Source organism: Homo sapiens, chromosome 15 (genome assembly GCF_000001405.40).
Source record: "Homo sapiens chromosome 15, GRCh38.p14 Primary Assembly".
NCBI classification, from domain to species: Eukaryota; Metazoa; Chordata; class Mammalia; order Primates; family Hominidae; genus Homo; species Homo sapiens.
Window position 1 is genome coordinate 41,236,146 of NC_000015.10, and position 21,132 is coordinate 41,257,277.

The 21,132-nt window shown below is 43.9% G+C and overlaps 1 protein-coding gene across 4 annotated transcripts in view, besides 1 other annotated feature; it reads left to right on the forward strand.

Moving 5' to 3' along the window:
* CHP1 (calcineurin like EF-hand protein 1) overlaps nt 1-21,132 on the forward strand; it is a 50,620-nt gene that overhangs the window by 4,878 nt on the left and 24,610 nt on the right. For 2 of the 4 annotated variants that reach the window (NM_007236.5, XM_017021879.3), the window contains exons 2-3: nt 7,522-7,594; nt 20,765-20,845. In NM_007236.5, the coding sequence (NP_009167.1) occupies nt 7,522-7,594; nt 20,765-20,845 (154 nt within the window). Of the gene's footprint in view, nt 1-7,521; nt 7,595-20,554; nt 20,666-20,764; nt 20,846-21,132 lie in introns of those variants that run through there. The other 2 variants (XM_047432124.1, XM_047432125.1) reach the window with 2 other exon arrangements.
* Nucleotides 12,752-12,952: a silencer, noted in NCBI's record as "peak2306 fragment used in MPRA reporter construct". NCBI's record gives its function as "represses an SCP1 promoter by STARR-seq MPRAs in K562 erythroleukemia cells {active_cell/tissue: K562}" and the evidence as "EXISTENCE:reporter gene assay evidence [ECO:0000049][PMID:32103011]".

A 21,132-nucleotide genomic window follows, 5' to 3' on the forward strand; every position in this document is an offset into this window, starting at 1 on the left:
ATAGCTCATTGCAGCCTCAAACTCCTGGCCTCAAATGATCCTTCCACCCCAGACTTTCAAAGTACTGGGATTATAGATGTGAGCCACTGTGCCTGGCAACTACCTGATTTTTAATTTTTATTTATTTATTTTTTCAGACAGGGTCTTGCTCTGTCATCCAGGCTGGAGTGCAATGGCATGATCACGGCTCACTGCAGCCTCAAGCTTCTGGGCTCAAGCAATCCTCCCAGCTCAGCCTCCTGAGTAGCTGGGACTACAGGCACATGCCACCACGCCTGGCTAATTTTTTAATTTTTTGTAGAGATAGGGTTTCACCATGTTGCCCAGGCTGGTCTTGAACTCCTGAGTTCAGGTGGTCCGCTCATCCCAGTCCCCCAAAGTGCTGCGATTACAGAGGTGAGCCACTGGCCAGGAACTTTTTTGCGGGGGCAAGGAGGGGATGGTGGTCCAGACCAGAGAGTAGTTGGAGGTTTATTCATTCAGAAGATAATTGACCCCAGCAGCAGCTGCGAAGATATAAGCTTTATTTTTGTAAATTTCTGGATAAACCATTTGAAAGTTGCAGGTATTGGAACTCTTTACCCCTTCATACTTCTGCATGTATCCCTTAAGTATTGGGATGGTTTTTACGTAACAACAATACTATTATCACACCTAAGAAAGTTGATAATACTTCTTAATACTATCTTTTTTTTTTTTTTGAGACAGAGTCTTGCTCTTGTTGCCCAGGCTGGAGTGCAGTGACTCGATCTCAGCTCACTGCAACCTCTGCCTCCTGGGTTCAAGCCATTCTCTTGCCTCAGCTTCCCAAGTAGCTGGGATTACAGGTGCCTGCCACCAGGCCTGGCTAATTTTTTGTATTTTTAGTAGAGATGGGGTTTCGCCACGTTGGCCAGGCTGGTCTCGAACTCCTGACCTCAGGTGATCCACCCACTTCAGCCTCCCAAAGTGCTGGGATTACAGGCGTGAGCCACCGCACCTGGCCCCTTTTTTTCTTTTTCTTTTTTTTTTTTTAATTGAGATGGAGTTTCACTTTTGTCGCCCAGGCTGGAGTGCAGTGGCGCGATCTCAGCTCACTGCAACCTCCGCCTCCTGGCTTCAAATGATTCTCCTGCCTCAGCCTCCCAAGTAGCTGGGATTACAGGCATGTGCCACCACGCCTGGCTAATTGTTTTTATTTTTAGTAGATACGAGGTTTTACCATGTTGGCCAGGCTGGTCTCGAACTCCTAACCTCAGATGATCTGCCTGCCTCAGCCTCCCAAAGGGCTAGGATTATAGACGTGAGCCACCTTAATATTATCTATCATTCACTTCCTATTCAAATTTCTCCAATTATAAGAAGATAGATTTTGTTTGTTTTATATAATGTTTTAAAATCTCTCTTAATCCCTAAGAGACTAGTCCAGGGCTTGAAGTCTTCATGTCAGGGGGAATGTTAAGGTGTAGTCTATTCCGGGAAGCGCAGGCTTCAACTTTCCTTTATCTAGAGCTACCTTTAGCTGTACTTGTAATCTTTACATAGGTTATCAGTCTGTTCTTCTGCATTAAGATTTGGAATAAAGGCAAGGACAAAATAACTTTTTCTTTTCTTTTTTTTTGAGATGGAGTCTCGTTCTGTCACCAGGCTGGAGTGCAGTGGTGCAATCCCGCCTCCCGGGTTCAAGGGATTCTCCCGCCTCAGCCTCCTGAGTAGCTGGGACTATAGGCACGTGCCACCATGCCCGGCTAATTTTTGTATTTTTAGTAGAGATGGGGTTTCCCCATGTTGGCCAGGATGATCTTGATCTCTTGACCTCGTAATCCACCCACCTCCCAAAAGTGCTAGGATTACAGGCATGAGCCACCATGCCTGGCCCTCCAAAATAACTTTTTCTTACTCCCTTTTTGTTTTTATTCTTTCCTCTGCCACTTCTGCTTCGCACTTCTGTGAAATGCCTTCCTCCTCTTTGCACAATGCAGTGATGATAGAAAGATTTCAGCAACGTTAACAGGGTCTTTTTTTGTTTTTTTGGCGTGTGTTTTTTTTTTGAGACAGGGTCTCACTCTGTCACCCAGGTTGGAGTGGAGGGGTGTGATCATAGCTCACTACAACCTTGAACTCCTGGGCTGAAACAGTCCTTCTGCCTCTGCCTCCTAAATAGCTCAGCGTACAGGAATGCACCACGATGCCCAGCTAATGATTGATTGATTGATTATAGAGATGAAGTCTTGCTTTGTTGCCCAGGCTAGTTTTGAACTGGCCTTTCGTCAAGGGATCCTCCCACTTTAGCCTCCCAAAGTGCTAGGATTACAGGCATGAGCCACTGCCCTCAGCCAAACAGGGTCTTTTAAATAATCTTTTAACAATTTAAAATGATTATATACCCATACCAGTGGAGAAAAAATACAGCTTCATTCAAGACATGTTTATAGCAGGGCACGGTGGCTCATGCCTGTAATCCCAGCACTTTAGGGCGGCTGAGGCGGGTGGATCACGAGGTCGGGAGATCGAGATCATCCTGGCTAACACGGTGAAACCTGGTCTCTACTAAAAATACAAAAAAAAAAAAAAATTAGCCAGGCATGGTGGTGGCAGGTACCTGTAGTCGCAGCTACTCAGGAGGCTGAGGCAGGAGAATGGCCTGAACCTGGGAGGCAGAGTTTGCAGTGAGCCAAGATCGCGCCACTGCACTCCATCCTGGGTGACAAAGCAAGCCTCCATCTCAAAAAAAGAAAAAAGACACGTTTATATGCACGGCCTTCTCTGAGAGTAACTGTCAACTCCTGTTATTTCCTTTGGGTTACCAAGAATTGTGCAGGTTTTGGGCACCTATCTGACTAGCTTAGAGCCTTCTGGGGAAAATACTTCACTGGAAACATGATCTGCCTTCATTCACACCAGTTCCAGTACCTTTCTACACATGGATGGTGTAGCTCCTTTATAGGTAGATTGGGATTGTTCTGAGATTGCTTTATATTCTTTGTCACAGTGAATTTAGTACCTAAATTAAAGCCTTCTCTCCTTCTTTTTGTTAACAAAATTACTTGTAACCATATCGTTATGGTTCTAAAATTTGTTCTAAAATTTTGGAGATAAGTTTAGATATGACCATATTGATTAGTATTAAAAGTTGACATTTGGTTGTATGTTTCTCCACTGACTCCCATATAACCCAGTTCGTCCTGGAAGATAGTTTTTTTTTTTTTAATGTTTTGGCTACTTATTTACATTATTTATTTTTAACATATTAGTACATTATTTTTTGTTATCGTTTGTTTTGTTTTGTTTTGTTTTGAGGCGGAGTCTCACTCTGTCGCCCAGGCTGGAGTGCAGTGGTGAGATTTCAGCTCACTGCAACCTCCATCTCCCAGGATCAAGCGATTCTCCTGCCTCAGCCTCCCAAGTAGCTGGGATTATACCACCACACCTGGCTAATTTTTGTATTTTTAGTAGAGACAGGGTTTTACCATGTTGGCCAGGCTGGTCTTGAACTCTTGGCCACAGGTGATCTGCCCGCCCTCAGCCCCCCAAAGTGCTGGTATTGCAGGCTTGAGCCACCAGGCCTTGCCACATTTTGAATTTAAGCAGCCATAAACTGGTCTTAACATACTATAGGAGGTTTCAGTGCCCAGTTATTTTATTTCTTTTTTATTTATTTATTTTTTCGAGACAGAGTCTCCTCTCTGTCACCCAGGCTGGAGTGCAGTGGCGCAATCTCAGCTCACTGCAAGCTCCGCCTCCCAGGTTCAAACCATTCTCCTGCCTCAGCCTCCCGAGTAGCTGGGACTACAGGTGCCTGCCACCACGCCCGTCTAATTTTTTGTATTTGTAGTAGAGACAGGGTTTCACCGTGTTAGCCAGGATGGTCTCAATCTCCTGACCTCGTGATCCGCCCGCCTCGGCCTCCCAAAGTGCTGGGATTACAGCTGGGATTACAGGTGTGAGCCACCACGCCCAGCCTCAGTGCCCAGTTATTTTAGATGATATAGATTAGAAAGATGTTTAATGGCTCATTTGTGGATTTTTTTGGTTTAAAATAATTTTATTTTTTATTTTTATTTTTATTTTGTTCCCCAGCCTGGTCTTGAACTCCTGGCCTCAAATCATTGTCCTGCTTCTGCCTCTGGAAGTGCTGGGATTATAGGCGCCAGCCATCATGCCTGGCTCTCATTTGTTCATTGAAGGGGTCGGATTAGATAACATTTCTACCAATTTTAAAATTATATAAATTGGATAAAGAAGGACTCCAAAGCAATATAGAAAAAGTATGAATTACTAAATGAAAAGCAAGCTATTACAACTTTGTAAAGTACACGAGTAACTGATATTAGATGATATATGAAGAGCTGGGCGCGGTGGCTCATGCCTGTAATCCCAGCACTTTGGGAGGCCGAGGTGAGTGGATCACCCGAGGTTGGGAGTTTAAGACCAGCCTGACCAACATGGAGAAACCCTGTCTCTACTAAAAATACAAAATTAGCTGGGTGTGGTGGCGCATGCCTATAATTCCAGCTACTTGGGAGGCTGAGGCTGGAGAATCACGGGAACCCAGAAGGCGGAGGTTGTGGTGAGCCAAGATTGTGCCATTGCGCTCCAGCCTGGGCAAGAAGAGCGAAACTCTATCTCAAAAAAAAAAAAAAAAAAAAGATCTATGAAGAAATGAAAATGGCAGTGTTGGGATTGTGAACAAATTTTGTTTTTTTCAAAAAATCTTTTGGGAAACTTAGTAATTCTTTTTTTTTTTGAAACAGAGTCTTGTTCTGTCACCAGTCTGGAGTGCAGTGACGTGATCTCCGCTCACTGCAACCTTCGCCTCCCTGGTTCAAGTGATTCTCCTGCCTCAGCTTCCCAAGTAGCTGGGACTAGAGGCAGACGCCACCACACCCAGCAGATTTTTGTATTTTTAGTAGAGACGAGGTTTCGCCATGTTGGCCAGGATGGTCTCGATCTCTTTTCCTCAGCATCCGCCCGCCTTGGCCTCCCAAAGTGCTGAGATTACAGGCGTGAGCCACTGCGCCCAGCCTGAAATTTAGTAATTCTTTAACTGACTTATTTTTGTTAAACTAAAGGGAACTTTAGTACAAGAATAGCCTTTGAGGCCTGAGGCCAGAACTGGGATAGACTGGTCAAGTTCTTAAAGAAAACGGTTGTAACTGGCAAAGTCAGGAGGGAAATGGAGAGTAATTAGTGCAGCAGTAATACTTGTGCCTTCAGGCTCAGGATGTAAGCATGATGCTGATAATAGCTAATCTGGAGTGCTTGCCATGTGCCTGGCACTTTGCCAAGCATTTTCCTTTCATTGACTGGTGAGTTCGCTCTACAATCCCATTCACTTACCTCTCTCTGGTAAGCCATGGTGCTAGCAATGGAATCAGAATCTGTCTGCCTAACCCTCACAAGTGTGTACACTTTACAGTGAGCCATTTATACCTGTCCGGCTGGCAAAACAGTCCACAACTGTCTCCTTAGTGGCTGGATCCCTGCTGGCTCTGCCCCGATGGAAATGCTTTTGCCTTCTCTGCTCAGTGATCACTTTAGAGCACTAGGACAGAACAGAGCCCAGCTTCGAGGGTGAAACCTGATGCTGAAGAATTCACAGCCACACATAGTGTGTCCTCTTATCCCAGCTCTGGGCCACTCACTACCTGCTTGTCCCTGTTCACTTTGTCCCATTGTTCCCAACACTACAAGTACATTTTTGTTTCATGAGCTGAGGGAGGAGGACACCTTATCTGAATGACTTTGGCCACCCCTTTAAACCTCTGAAGGTACAGCCTCGGACAAAGTCCACACTTGTCACACCCTTTTTGGCTGTTGTCTTTTCTCCTCTGTTTGTTTCCCCTCTCTTACTTCCAATCTATCAGGAGACTAAACTATTTCCCAGAAAGGCCTTTTTGAGTTTTTAGTATTATTATGTACCTGCCATTATTGCCTCATTTTAATTGTCAACTTGTATCTTGAGTTTATGGACTAAATCCAAAATGAGGAGCAAAATAGCTTTCTGGTAGATGTCATCTGATGATAGCATGACCATTTTACGAATTTGCCTAATTTGCTTCCTTGGAGCCAGTTCCCTTCCTGGGAACTCAGTGAAGCTCATGCCATCACAGAAAAGAGGTTGATCTTTATGTTTTCCAAGGGAAAAGATAAAGCCTTTAATGCTTGGTGTAGGAGTAAACCAGAGTTTTAAAATAGAATCTGTTTGATGTACCCCAATCAAATATTGTACACCCAACACCTACCTAGCCGTACACATCACCTACCTAGCCGTACACCTACCTAGCAGTACAGCCTGAAACAGCAAACTGATCATGGATATTTTTTCAATCAAAACATGCATTTTTTAGCTGGAACTGTGGCTCATGCCTGTAATCCCAGCTACTTGGGAGACTGAGGCACGAGAATCGCTTGAACCCAGGAGGTGGAGGTTACAGTGAGCTGAGATTGTACCACTGCACTCCAGCCTGGGCGACAAAGTTGAGGCTCTGTCCCCCAAAAATAAAATAAAATAAAATTTAAAAAATAAGCAAAATAGGCCGGGCATGGTGGCTCATGCCTGTAATCCCAGCACTTTGGGAGGCTGAGGCAGGTGGATCACCTGAGGTCAGGAGTTCAAGACCATCCTGGTCAACATGGCAAAACCCTGTCTCTACTAAAAATACAAAATTAGCTGGGCATGGTGGTGGGCGCCTGTAATCCCAGCTACTTGGGAGGCTGAGGCAGGAGAATCGCTTGAACACGAGAGGCAGAGGTTGCAGTGAGCCAAGATTGTGCCATTGCACTCCAGCCTGGGCAACGAGAGTGAAACCCCATCTCAGAAAAAAAGAAAAAAGTAAAAAAATAAATACAGTAAAAACATACATTTTCTTAGCCTCTAAGTCAGGGCATTGAAACTTCAAAGTTTCACAGCTTCCTTTTAAACTAAATTTGGGCTGGGCATGGTGGCTCACACCTATAATCCCAGCAGTTTGGGAGGCTGAGGCGAGTGGATCACCTGAGGTCAGGAGTTCAAGACCAGCCTAGCCAACATGGCGAAACCCCGTCTCTACTAAAAATACAAAAAATTAGCTGGGTGTGGTGGCGGAAGCCTGTAATCCCAGCTACTCGGGAGGCTGAGGCAGGAGAGTTGCTTGAACCCGGGAGGCAGAGGTGGCAGTGAGTGAGATCGTGCCACTGCACTCCAGCCTGGGTGACAAGAGCAAAACTTTGTCTCAGTAAAATAGGATGGGATAGGATAGGACAGGACAGGACAGGACAAAATTTGCCTTTGTTTTGTTAAATCTTAACCATCTAATATTCATCACAGTCTTAATTAAGCCTAGACTTCATTCCTGGGATTGAATTTTGATTGCCCTTGATTTAGTTTATTCTCTAACTCCTTTCATTCTTTAGCTTTTAAACTTTCTGCTTTAACATTCTAGAGATAAGAGTTTCGACATCCCAGTCCTACTGAATTTTGAAGCATTTGACAGCGAGGGGTGGGTTCAGTGTGAATGAGGGCTACTTCCCCCGAGCTGGGACTAATTTTGTGCTCTTTAGTTTCCCACAGTCAAATCACTCGCCTCTACAGCCGGTTCACCAGCCTGGACAAAGGAGAGAATGGGACTCTCAGGTAGGCAGTGTTTTTCTTTATTTTCCTCACAGAAACCAGAAACCCTCTGGCAGTGTCTGAATAGCTGCCTTTATCCCTAGGGTAGACATGATAGACATCCAGCATGCAGATAGCAAGGACCATTTCTCTACTGGTCTTTGAGCATCATTGATCCACAAGAGAATTAAATCAGCAGAACAGGCTGGGCGCGGTGGCTCACGCCTTAATCCCAGCACTTTGGGAGGTCAAGGCGGGCGGATCATGAGGCCAGGAGGTCCAGACCAGCCTGACCAACATGGTGAAACCCCGTCTCTACTAAAAATACAAAAATTAGCTCAGTGTGGTGGTAGGCGCCTGTAATCCCAGCTACTCAGGAGGCTGAGGTAGGAGAATTGCTTGAACCCGGGAGGCAGAGGTCGCAGTGAGCAAAGATCACGCCACTGCACTCCAGCCTCGGCAACAGAGCAAGACTCCATCTAAAAAAAAAAAAAAAAACAGCGGAACTATGACAATTAAATGCATTAACAGATGTGTGTTGCTTTATTCCAACTCCCCTTAATTTAGGTGGCCATTGTTCTGATTCTAGGAATGTATTTTTAAGATTTCAGCTCTCTCTGCTTACATTTTCCCATAATCCTTTCCCAAACATTGGCTTTTAGGAAGTTGACCCATAGCGATCCCAGGTGGTCTAGGTTGTTTTGTCTTCTTTTATTTACCAACCCATAACCCTGAGGTACATCACTTTATGTATATTAATGTTGGACAAAATGTTCAGTATGTTAGTCTAGAGCAGTGGTTCTCATCTGAGGGCCATTTTGCCACCTGGGGCAAAATGTCTGGAAACATTTTTAATTGCCATGACTGGAGAATGCTACTAGTGCCTAGTGGGTTGTGGCCAGAGATGCTGCTAAACATCCTACAGTGCACAGGACAGCCCCCATGACAAATAATTATTCTGGTCTAGATGTCGGTAGTGCCAAAATTGAGAAACTCTGGTCTAGGTAAGTATATGATATCAGAGTGATGTAATGCTATATTGTTTTATGTTTGTAATTGTCTTACCATAATCAAATGAAATATTCTTTACCATTATCTCCCACACTAACTCTCAGTAGCAACCTTTCTTATGCTGTGGTTCTTCATCTTTGATTGGCATGTAATGAAGCTGTTGCCCTTCCTTTTGGCTGGCATGAAGCAGCTTAGGACTTCTTTAGAAAGTTTCTAGCACAGGTGTTGGATGTAGCATAAAGGGGGAAGGAATACAGTTGCTAAGCCTTTGGACGTAATCATCACCCCAAATGGAAACCCCATACTCATTAAGCATGGGGTTAAGCATACCTATTAAGCATACGTATTTCCCCCTTCTCTCATCCCCTGGCAACCATAAATCTACCTTCTTTTTCTCTCTGGACAATTCATATAAATGGAATTATATGGCCCTCTCATAACTGACTTCTTCTGGCTGGACACGGTGGCTCATGCCTGTAATTCTAGCACTTTGGGAGGCCAAGGCGGGCGGATCACCTGAGATCAGGAGTTCGAGACCAGGCTGGCCAACATGGGGAAACCCCGTCTCTATTAAAAATACAAAAATTAGCGTGGCGTGGTGGTGGGCGCCTGTGCGTGGTGGTGGGCGCCTGTAATCCAAGCTACTCAGGAGGCTGAGGCAGGAGAATTGCTTGAACTTGGGAGGTGGAGGTTGCAGTGAGCCCAGATTGTGCTGCTGTATTCCAGCCTGGGCGACAGAGAGAGACTTTGTCTCAAACAAACAAACTGACTTCTTCTACTTAACATGATGTTTTTAAGGTTCATCCATGATGTAGCATATACCAGTACTTCATTCCTTTTTATGGCTGAATAAATAGTCTGTCATATGGATATGCCACATTTGTGTATCCATTCAGCAGTTAGTAAACATTTGAGTTTACACCTTTTGAGTATTGCAAATAGTGTTGCTTTAAACATTTTTGGGTGCACATATGTTTTAATTTCTCTTGGACGTATACCTAGGAGTGGAATGGTGGGTCATATGAGTTGTCTTTTCACTCTCTTTGTAGTGTTCTTTAAAGCACAAAAGTTTTTAATTTTGATGAAGTCCAGTTTCTTTAATATTTCTTTCAGTGCTTGTGCTTTTGGTATCATATATAAGAAACCATTGCCAAATCCAGTGTCCCAAAGGCTTATCCTATATCTTCTTGTAAGGGCTTTATGGTTTTAGTTCTTATATTAAGGTCTTTTGATTTATTTTGAGTTGGTTTTGTATATGGTGTCAGAGAAGAGTCCAACATCATTTTTTTTTGCATGTGGATATCCAGTTGTACCAGCACCATTCGTTGAAGACGCTATTAAAACTATGTGAATTTACACTTGAAAAATAACTAGACTAGAAATCCCTATTTGTAATTTTAGCTCCAATACTTAAAAATTCCTTTGAGTTTATACTTGCCTCATAAATTCAGACTTAACCACCCAGTAAAGACTTAAAATTTATATTCTGAGTTCTTTTCTTCTTTGTAGAAAGTGGGTGGTTTCTAAATGTGTGTGTTTTTATCATGTTTGCTGTGTGCTGGAAAATAATCGAAAAGTTTTTTTTTTAATGAGCTGTTTCTTTTTTTTTTAAGATGGAGTTTCACTCTTGTTGGCCAGGCTGGAGTGCAATGGTGTGATCTCGGCTCACTGCAACCTCTGCCTCCCGGGTTCAAGTGATTCTCCTGCCTCAGCTTCCTGAGTAGCTAGGATTACAGGCGCATGACACCACGCCCTGCTAATTTCTGTATTTTTAGTAGAAACGGGGTTTCACCATCTTGGCCAGGCTGGTCTCAAACTCCTGACCTCGTGATCCACCCGCCTTGGCCTCCCAAAGTGCTGGGATTAAAGGTGCGAGCCACCGTGCCTGGCCAAAAAGCTTTTTTTTTTTTTTTTTTTTTTTTTTGAGAGAGAGTCTCGCTCTGTAGCCCATGGTCTCGATATCCTGACCTCGTGATGCACCTGCCTGGCTAACGCAGTGAAACCCCGTCTCTATTAAAAATACAAAAAATTAGCTGGGCGTGGTGGCAGGCGCCTGTAGTCCCAGCTACTCGAGAGGCTGAGGTAGGAGAATCACTTGAACCTGGGAGGCGAGATCACGCTACTGCACTCCAGCCTGGGAGACACAGCTAGACTCCATCTCAAAAAATTAAAAAAAAGCCCGGGTGTGGTGGCTCACACCTGTAATCCCAGCACTTTGGGAGGCTGAGACGGGCGGATCACAAGGTCAGGAGGTCGAGACCATGGGCTACAGAGCGAGACTCTGTCTCAAAAAAAAAAAAAAAATGTTGAAAACTTTCCAGGCGTCAGTGTAGCCTGCTCCTTAAAATCTAAGTAAGGGCCAAGCGCAGTGGCTTACACCTGGCTGTAATCCAGCACTTTGGGAGGCCAAGGCAGGTGGATCACTTGAGGCCAGGAGTTTGAGATCGGCCTGGCCGACATGGTGAAACACCATCTTTACGAAAAATACAAAAATTAGCTGGGTGTGGTGGCGCATGCCTGGAATTCCAGGTACTTGGGAGGTTGAGGCAGGAAAATTGCTTGAACCCGGGAGGCGGAGGTTGTAGTGAACCAAGATTGCAGCACTGCCCTGCACCCTGGGCAACACAGTGAGATCCTGCCTTTAAAAAAAAAAAAAATTCTGGCCGGTTGTGGTGGCTCACTCTTGTAATCCCAGCACTTTGGGAGGCCGAGATGGGTGGATCAGCTGAGGTCAGGAGTTCGAGACCAGGCTGGCCAACATGGTAAAACCCCGTCTCTACTAAAAATACAAAAAAATTAACCAGGTGTGGTGGCGCACGCCTGTAATCCCAGCTACTTGGGAGGCTGAGGCAGGAGAATCACTTGAACCCGGGAGGTGGAGGTTGCAGTGAGCCGAGATCGTGCCACTGCACTCCAGCCTGGGCAGCAGAGCAAGACTCCATCTTAAAATAAATAAATAAATAGGGCCGGGCGCGGTGGTTCACGCCTGTAATCCCAGCACTTTGGGAGGCCGAGGCAGGCAGATCATGGGGTCAAGAGAAGACCAACCTGGCTAACACAGTGAAACCCCGTCTCTACTAAAAATACAAAAAATTAGCTGGGAGTGGTGGTGGGTACCTGTAGTCCCAGCTACTCGGGAGGCTGAGGCAGGAGAATGGTGTGAACCCGGGAGGCGGAGCTTTCAGTGAGCCGAGATCACACCACCATACTCCAGCCTGGGCGACAGAGCAAGACTCCGTCTCAAATAAAAAAATAAATAAATAAAATAAATAAATAAATAAATAAGTATCTAAGTAAGATTTGCTCAATCTGTAAGTTACCATTTCACAGCCTGTGGAAAACCAGCAGACTAGCTCACTCATTTGGTAGGTATTTACTGACTATCTATGATGTGCCAGACACTGTTCTCCATGCTGGCAATATTTTTTTTTTTTTTGTAAGAGACAGGGTCGCACTCTGTCTCCTAGGCTGGAGTGTAATGGCACCATCACAGCTCACTGCAACCTCAACCTCCTGGGCTCAGACAGTTCTCCCACCTCAGCTGCCCAAGTAGCTAGGACTACAGGCATGCATCACTATGCCTGGCTAATTTTTTTTTCTTTTTACTTTTAGCAAAAAAGCAAAAAAGCGCACATTATGTGGTACAATGGAATAGTTTCTTCTAGGTATTCAAGGTAGCTTGGTGCTTCTCCTGTTATTTTTATTTTATTTTCATTTTTTGTGGAGACACAGTCTCACCTTGTTGCCCATGCTGGTCTCAAACTCCTGGGCTCCATCAGTCCTCCCGCCATGGCCTCCCAAAGTACTGGGATTATAGGCATAAGCCACTGTACCTGGCCTGAAAGCTCTAGGTCTTAAACCTGTTCTTTGATCTCTATCATGGTGTGGATTGAAATATAAGAAAGGTTGGGCGAGGAGACTCATGCCTGTAATCCCAGCACTTTGGGAGGCTGAGGTGAGAGGATTCCTTGAGGCCCGGAGTCTCAAGACCAGCCTGAGCAACATAGTGAAACCCCGTCTCTACAAAAAATAAAAATAAATGAGAGAAGCACCAAGCTACCTTGAATACCTAGAAGAAATTAGCCAATTGTACCACATAATGTGCCACATAGTAAACGAGTAATATATTTTATGTAAATCGTTTTGTCAGACCCACCCACTACTGGGATTTCACTCTGGCTGTGCCTCCTGACAATTATCTTCTTAGCCTGTGGCCATCCGATTAAATTGTCTTCCCCTTCTCTCAGCCCTCTCCTCTTCTACCCCCTCTAGCCTTAGAAATGAGTTGGCCTAACTGGGAACTCTTCTCTAGTAGAATGATCCAGTTCTCTCCAGCCTTTGTTGCCAAACTCAGCTTAAGGCCTGTCTTGATGTTTCCAGGACCCATCAGAGTGCTCATCCGAATACAAGTGGCTTCCAATCTTTTGTTACCTGGAACAGCTTCCACCTTCTTTTTTTGGTTTTTGTTTTTGAGACAGGGTCTGACTCTATTGCCCAGGCTTGATTGCAGTGGCACCATCACGGCTCACTGTAGCCTCCCACCTCAGCCTCCTGAGTAGCTGGGACTACAGGCACGTGTCACTGCCTGGCTAACTTTTGTATTTTTTGTAGAGAGGAGGTCTCGCCATGTTCCCCATGACTGGTCTCGAACTCCTGAACTCAAACCATCTGCCTGCCTCAGTCTCCCAAAGTGCTGGGACTACAGATGTGTGCCACCATGCCTGGCCTTCACCTTCTTTTTTTTTTTTTTTTTTTTTTTTTTTTGAGATGGAGTCTCGCTCTGTCGTCCAGGCTGGAGTGCAGTGGCACGATCTCGGCTCACTGCAACCTCCGCCTCCCGGGTTCATGCCATTCTCATGCCTCAGCCAACCGAGTAGCTGGGACTACAGGTGCCCGCCACCACACCCAGCTAATTTTTTGTATTTTTAGTAGAGACGGGGTTTCACTGTGTTAGCCAGGATGGTTTTGATCTCCTGACCTTGTGATCCACCTGCCTTGGCCTCCCAAAGTGCTAAGATTACAGGCGTAAGCCACTGCGCCCGGCCTCGCCTTCACCTTAAGAAGGCAGTTGTAGTTATTAGGAGAAAGATTTTCACTTCAACAATTTTTTTTTTTTTTTTTTACTTTCCTCTTTCAAGGTGCTCCATGTCTGGGCCTGAAGCCAAATTCTGCAGAGTGAGAGGCTACAGTGTACAGTCTGGGGCATTCTGCATTCCTTTGTAGTGATCAGCTCCAGTGGAACATAAGGCAGAACTGTGGAAGGCTTTGGTTAGAATGGAGCTTCTTCAGAGTGCTTTCAGAGACTCACTCCGAAGCATGCTTTATAGAACAGTCATTCCTTGGTCTATCAATAGGTGTTATGTTAAAAAAAAAAAAAAAAAGCAAAAAGTTATTGACTAAAATTTGTGAAAACCTTGGTCAACAAGGTTAAATAGGCTACCTAATTACTAGATTTCACCACATCTTTAATTTACCTGGGTGAATTGGGAACATTCAAGGGAGAAGTGTTTGCCAAATTGATTTGCAATTTCCCTGTCTGCCTTTTTACATGGACCATCTCTTCAGATTGATATTTCACGGAATATAAATATACACTGTAACCTTATAAACCTTACTTTCTTCAGATGCCATTATTTTGGGTAAGATATTTCTACCATTGCCATAGAGATTGTTTTTTCTAAAAAGGCAGCTTAGGCCAGGCGCAGTGGCTCATGCCTGTAATCCCAGCACTTTGGGAGGCCGAGGCAGGGGAATCGCTTGAACCCGGGAGGCGGAGGTTGCAGTGAGCCAAGATCATGCCATTGCACTCCAGCCTGGGCAGTAAGAGTGAAATTCCATCTCAAAAATAAATAAATAATAAATAAATAAATAATAAAGAGGAGGAGAAGAAATAATTTTTAAAATAGGAACAAAATCCAGGTGAGGTTTCTTACCAAAAAAAAAAAAAAGGAACAGAAGCAAACTTCCCAGCTAAAGGGCCCATTTTTAGTCTAAGAAGGTTCACCTAATGCTGAACAATGAATAATAAAGAATACTTCACAATAAGATATATATAGATGAAATTTCAGAATATCAAGAGGAGATATTTAAGACTTTCTTTCTTTCTTTCTTTTTTTTTTTTTGAGACAGAGTCTCGCTCTGTCACCAGGCTGGAGTGCAGAGGCACAATCTCGGCTCACTGCAGCCAAGTTCACCGCTTCCGGGTTCAAGTGATTCTCCTGCCTCAGCCTCCAGAGTAGCTGCAATTATAGGCGTGCACTACCACGCCCAGTGAATTTTTTTATTTTTAGTAGAGACGGGTTTCACCATGTTGGCCAGGATGGTCTCGATCTCTTGACCTTGTGACCCACCCACCTCAGCCTCCCAAAGTGCTAGGATTACAGGTGTGAGCCACTGTGCCTGGCCCAGAGGATGTTTTTAAAGCAAACTTTATTGAAGTATAACATACAGAAAAGTGCACAAATCAAAAGCATTGGACATGATAAATTTTCACCAAGGGAAGACTATCCAGCCTCCAGATGAAGAAACTGATTATTACCAATACCCAGAAGCTTCCCTTATGCTCCTTTTGTCTTTACCTGCTCCCCTCCCCAAAGGGTAATCATTATCCTGCCTTGTAACTCCATAGATTACATCAGAACAAAGAATATTTAAAGAAGAGAAACCATCTTTGTGTTCAGATACTGACCAGGCTCTTACCTTAACCTGACCTGCAAAAGACCACTTTAGGACCCCTGGGGTCCCCAACCTCTGGGTTGCAGACCAGTACCAGTCTGTGGCCAGTTAGGAACCGGGCTACACAGCAGGAGGTGAACAGAATGCAAGTGAGCATTATCACCTGAGCACCGCCTCCGGTCAGATCAGTGGCGGCACTAGATTCTCATAGGAACAGAAACCCTATTGTGAACTGCCCATGTGAGGGATCTAGACTGAGTGCTCCTTATGAGAATCTAATGCCTGCTGATCTGAGGTTGAACAGTGTCATCCTGAAACTATCCTGTCTACCCCCAGGAGAAAAATTATTTTCCATAAAACTGGTCCCTGGTCCCAAAAAGGCTGGGGATCGCTGCCAGCTGCCTTTTTTTTTTTTTTTTTAATTAGAGACAGGGTTTCCCTATGTTGCCCAGGCTGGTCTCGGACTCCTGGGTTGGGATTACAGGCACATGCCACTATGCCTGGCTTATTTTGTATTTTTAATAGAGACAGGGTTTCTCCATATTGGTCAGGCTGGTCTCAAACTCCTGACCTCAGGCGATCTGCCCACCTTGGCCTCCCAAAGTGCTGGGATTATAGGCGTCAACCACCACGCCTGGCCATCTTATCCATTTAATTTAAAAATACTGATTAAGTGCTTTAGCTAATGGAAATTTTTGTCATTTCAGTGTTAATAAATATGTTGTACCATATGCTTAACCTCTCATACTACTTAAAATGGAAAGCTGTATTTTCTTTTCTTTTTTTTTTTTGAGACAGAGTCTCGCTCTGTTGCCCAGGCTGGAGTGGTACAATCTTGGCTGACTGCAACCTCCGCCTCCCGGGTTCAAGCAGTTCTCTGCCTCAGCCTCCCAAGTAGCTGGGATTACAGGCACCCGCCACCACGCCCGTCTGATTTTTGTATTTTTAGTAGAGACGGGGTTTTACCATCTTGGCCAGGCTCGTGTCTAACTCCTGACCTCATGATCCACCCACCTCGGCCTCCCAAAGTGCTGGAATTACAGGAGTGAGCCACCACGCCCGGCCTGGAAAGCTGTGTTTTCTAATTGAATGTGTGTTCCAGTGGGTATGTCCTATTAACAGATTTTAATCTCCTCATTATGTACAAGTCAACTAAAGCAACAACCTGTGGGTGCTTGAGATAGAAGTTACCTGTGAGGCTGAATCTCTCTGTAAGAGAAGGGACTTGCACAGTGAAGGTGAGCAGTATAGAGGGATGGCATGTCTGGTTACTAACAGTCTAAAAACCCTGGTTTTTCTAAGCATCCCTGTGCCCTTGAATGTTTGGAAAACCACTCCCCATTGGAAATTTCTTGGCCACAAAGAATGCCATCGTACATGGCTCTGTTCTCAGAATTGACTACTACCAGTGATACTGTCTTTTTCTAAAAAAATCTTCAAGGAAGGTTTTCCTAGGTATACCATGAGGCAGAACATAATGTTGGTATGCTTTTCAGTGAATCCACACAAATCTGTATTTCACATGGTTTTTTTTTTTTTTTTTTTTTTTTTTTTTTGAGATGGAGTCTCACTCTGTCACCAGGCTGGAGTGCAGTGGCGCAATCTTGGCTCACTGCAACCTCCACCTCCCAGGTTCAAGTGATTCTCCTTTCTCAGCCTCCAGAGTAGCTGGGACTACAGGCTCGCGCCACCATGCCCAGCTAATTTTTGTGTTTTTAGTAGAGACGGGGTTTCACCATGTTGGCCAGGATGGTCTTGATCTCTTGACCTCGTGATCCACCTGCCTCAGCCTCCCAAAGTGCTGGGATTACAGGCGTGAGCCACTGTGCCCGGCCTTCGGATGGATCTTATGCTTGTGGTGTTTAGGCCACTTTGGAGTATTTATTTTTTTCTATTAGGTTTATGTTGATGGGTAAATTTGAGAATCTAAGTTTTAGAGAAACTGCCCAGATCTACATTCTACTATAAAGCAACCAGTAATAATAACTTGTTCGTATATTATTTATTTAACAGTTGACAAAGTATTTATTTATTTATTTATTTATTTATTTATTTATTTATTTATTTATTTTGAGACGGAGTCTTGCTCTGTCACCAGGCTGGAGTGCAGTGGCGCAATCTTGGCTCACTGCAACCTCCACCTCCCAGGTTCATGCCATTCTCCTGCCTCAGTCTCCCGAGTAGCTGGGACTACAGGTGCCCGTCACCACGCCTAGCTAATTTTTTGTTTTTTTAGTAGAGACGGGGTTTCACCGTGTTAGCCAGGTTGGTCTTCATCTCTTGACCTCATGATCCTCCCGCCTCGGCCTCCCAAAGTGCTGGGATTACAGGTGTGAGCCACTGCGCCCGGCTGACAAATTATTTTTTATACTCTTTCTGTTTGTTTTGTTTTTTCTGTTTTGAAACAGGGTCTCACTCTGTCACCCAGGCTCGAGGGCAGTGATGTTACCATGGCTCCTTGCAGCCTTGACCTTCTAGGCTCAAACAATCCTCCCGCTTCAGCTTCCCAAGTAGCTGGGACTACAGGCACGTGCCACCATGCCTGGCTAATTTTTTTTTTTTTTTTAAACTTTTTAGAGATGTGGTCTTGCTCTGTTGCCCAGGCTGGTCTCGAACTCCTAGCCTGAAGCAGTTCTTCCACCTTGGCCTCCAAAAGTGCTGGGATTATAGGCTGAGCTGCCATACCCAGCCCTCTTTCTTTTTAACTTTAATACTTTTAGCAATACTGTCCTTGATCTGGGTGACTGGAACTACATTATATATACAATCTAAATTCTAAGAGTAGAGTTAGAAAGTATCAAAGGACAGGTCCATCGGAAGGCCAAGTGTACACCTCCTTATTGAGACTGAAGTTCAGGCTAGGTTGTGCATCACCACTTGATACTAGACTTGGTATTTAAACTGCCTTTTCTCAGCTAAAGTTTCTTAAGCTTGTTAGACATTAAACTGAAGTATGTAGCCATGCAATTCAAATCAGCCTTAGTCTTAATTTAAAAGTGAGTAGTTATTGTTTCTTGACCTCTGTCAGACAGGAGGAGCTACATTTTGATGATAGTGTAGACTTTGTATTACAGAACAAATTATGTAATAAAAGCTTAGTACATGTTTGTTGAATTAAATAATCAGGACCTCGGTAATTTTCTCTTTCATCATCTTAAGCAATCCAGTTATCTTATGAATGACTTCTTCTGGTTCATGCATTGATATAAAATTATTACACTAAATGGTCAAGAAGGACTAGAATCCAGGATGATTGTTCCAGAGCTTTGTGTTCAGTCCACTAGGTCAGTTTCTACCTGTGTCACCAAATGTGGTGGAGAAGAGCTTGCTGAGTTAATTAAGCACCACGTAAACGTTAAACCACAAGAGGAAAAGAGCGTGAAGTCTCCTGGGTACAGTAGGAGTATTTTATTATCTTCCGTCTTTGCTAGCATATATTACAAAGAGGGTGGAGGTATACATTTTATCTGTCTGTAAGTAAACTTCTTGAAGGCAGGAGTAAAATCTAGTTTATAATCTTTTTTTTAACTTTTTATCTGGAAATAATTTTAAACTTGAAGTTACAAGAACAATACAAGATAACTTTTATTCTGATACCCAGATTCACCAATTGTTAACATTTTGTCACATACTTCACTGTTTATTTCCTATAGAAAGGACATTCTCAGATCAAAATCAAGAAAGTTGCATTTTGAAACAGTACCATTATGTAATATTCCATATTTTATATGGTCCATGCTTCATTTTCACATATTATCCAATAATGTCCTTATAGCAGTTTTTTTCCTAGTCCGGGATCATGTGTTGGGTTTTGTTGTGTGTCTCTTTAGCCCCCCCTTGATCTGGAACAATCCTCTGCTTTTCTTTGTCCTCCATGACATTGATATTTTTGAAGACTGCAGCACAGATAAGTTGTAGACAGCTTTGTATTCTTGGCCCAGGAACCAACAAAAGAAAGTTTTTAAAAAATACTTATTGAAAAATTGGGGGACTGGGTGCGGTGGCTCACGCCTGTAATCCCAGGACTTTGGGAGGCTGAGGTGGGTGGATCACCTGAGGTCAGGAGTTCAAGACCAGCCTGGCCAATGTGGTAAAACCCCACCTCTACTAAAAATACAAAAATTGGCCGGGCATGGTAGCACCCGCTTGTAATGCTAGCTACTTGGGAGACTGAAGCAGTAGAATCGCTTGAACCCGGGAGGAGGAGGTTGCAGTGAACCCAGAGATCAAGCCACTACACTCCAGCCTGGGAGCGAAACTCCATCTCAAAAAAATAAAAATAAAGAATTTGGGGGAGAGTAACTTTCATTCAAAAGGTTCAATATTAGGGCTGGGCACCGTGGCTCACTCCTGTAATCCCACCCAGCACTTTGGGAGGCCGAGGCCGGCAGATCACCTGAGGTCAGGAGTTCAAGACCAGCCTGGCCAACATGGTGAAACTCCGTCTCTACTAAATGTACAAAAAACTAGCCAGGCGTGGTGGAGAGTGCCTGTAATCCCAGCTACTTGGGAGGCTGAGGCAGGAGAATCGCTTGAACCTGGGAAGTGGAGGTGGCAGTGAGCCAAGACCATGCCATTGCATTCCAGCCTGGGTGACTGAGCAAGACTCTGTCTCAAAAAAAAGTTCAATATAGGAAAGAAATATGGTTTTTAGAAAAAGAACACATACTTTGACTTACAGACTTAGATTTAAATCACAGTTCTGCTACTTAGGAGTAGTGTGGCTTTGGGCAAGTTACTTTATCTTCCTGACTCTCAATTTCCTCAGCTCTAAAAGGGTATACATAAAACATTGGCGTGAAGAAATGAGAATAATGTATGTAAACAGAGCAGCACATGATATATATGTGATGAATGGTAACTGACAATATTCGCTTTGGTATAACCTCGCCTAAGTCATGTGAGGATGACTGCTCTTGTCATGTTTGAGGGTTAAATACTTCTGTAGCCCTAGTCCACAGAACATGGAAATGGAGAAAAAGCCAGAGTCAGAACAAGGAAATCAATTGGTTGTCACATTATTTCCTTGCATGTAAATAGCACCTAAGAATTCCTTGCATTTTGTAAGTGCCTAAAAATCTTAACAAGGATATGGAGACCCCTCTAAGTGTTTGTCCCCATATTCAAGTTCTGCAGTATTTGATACTTTCCATTTGCTGTTCACTTTCCAAACTTAATAACTAGGTACGCAATGCTAATGTTCAAGAAATCATTTACTAAGGGACAGCTTAGTATTTGTCCATCAGTTGGCTTATTGACGTAACCTGTGTGCTAAATTCACTGGAATGTGGCGTAATCAAATCTGGCTCCTTCCACTTCTGAGTTGGTGCAAGAAACACTTGGCAGCTATTAAAGTGCTATTCTTTGCAGTTATTTGGTATAATTTGCCACAGAAGTAAATTCCAGGAGGTAATATTCTTGCTAGGTTACACCCTGTTACCTCCTGACTTAAGGAGTTCATGCTAAGGGCAATGATCTCTATCTAACTCAAGGTGATTCTCTTGGCAGCCGGGAAGATTTCCAGAGGATTCCAGAACTTGCCATCAACCCACTGGGGGACCGGATCATCAATGCCTTCTTTCCAGAGGGGTGAGTCAGTACAGTTGTTGGACTTCCTTCCTGAGGCTATCACAACCTAAATTATTTGCTAATCTGGAATAATGATATTGGTTGTGCCATCTCAGACTGTGATACCCCCTGATTATATTGAGCAATTCTAATTTTGTCATTTCTAGAATATCTCTTCTGTTCTACCCTCCTGTGTGTTTTAAACTTCAAATAGATATATGAGCCTATCTTCAAAATTCTTATGTTTATCATTGATGTAAAACTAGACTTTTAAAAAATGTTTATTTGGAAATAATTTCAAATTTACA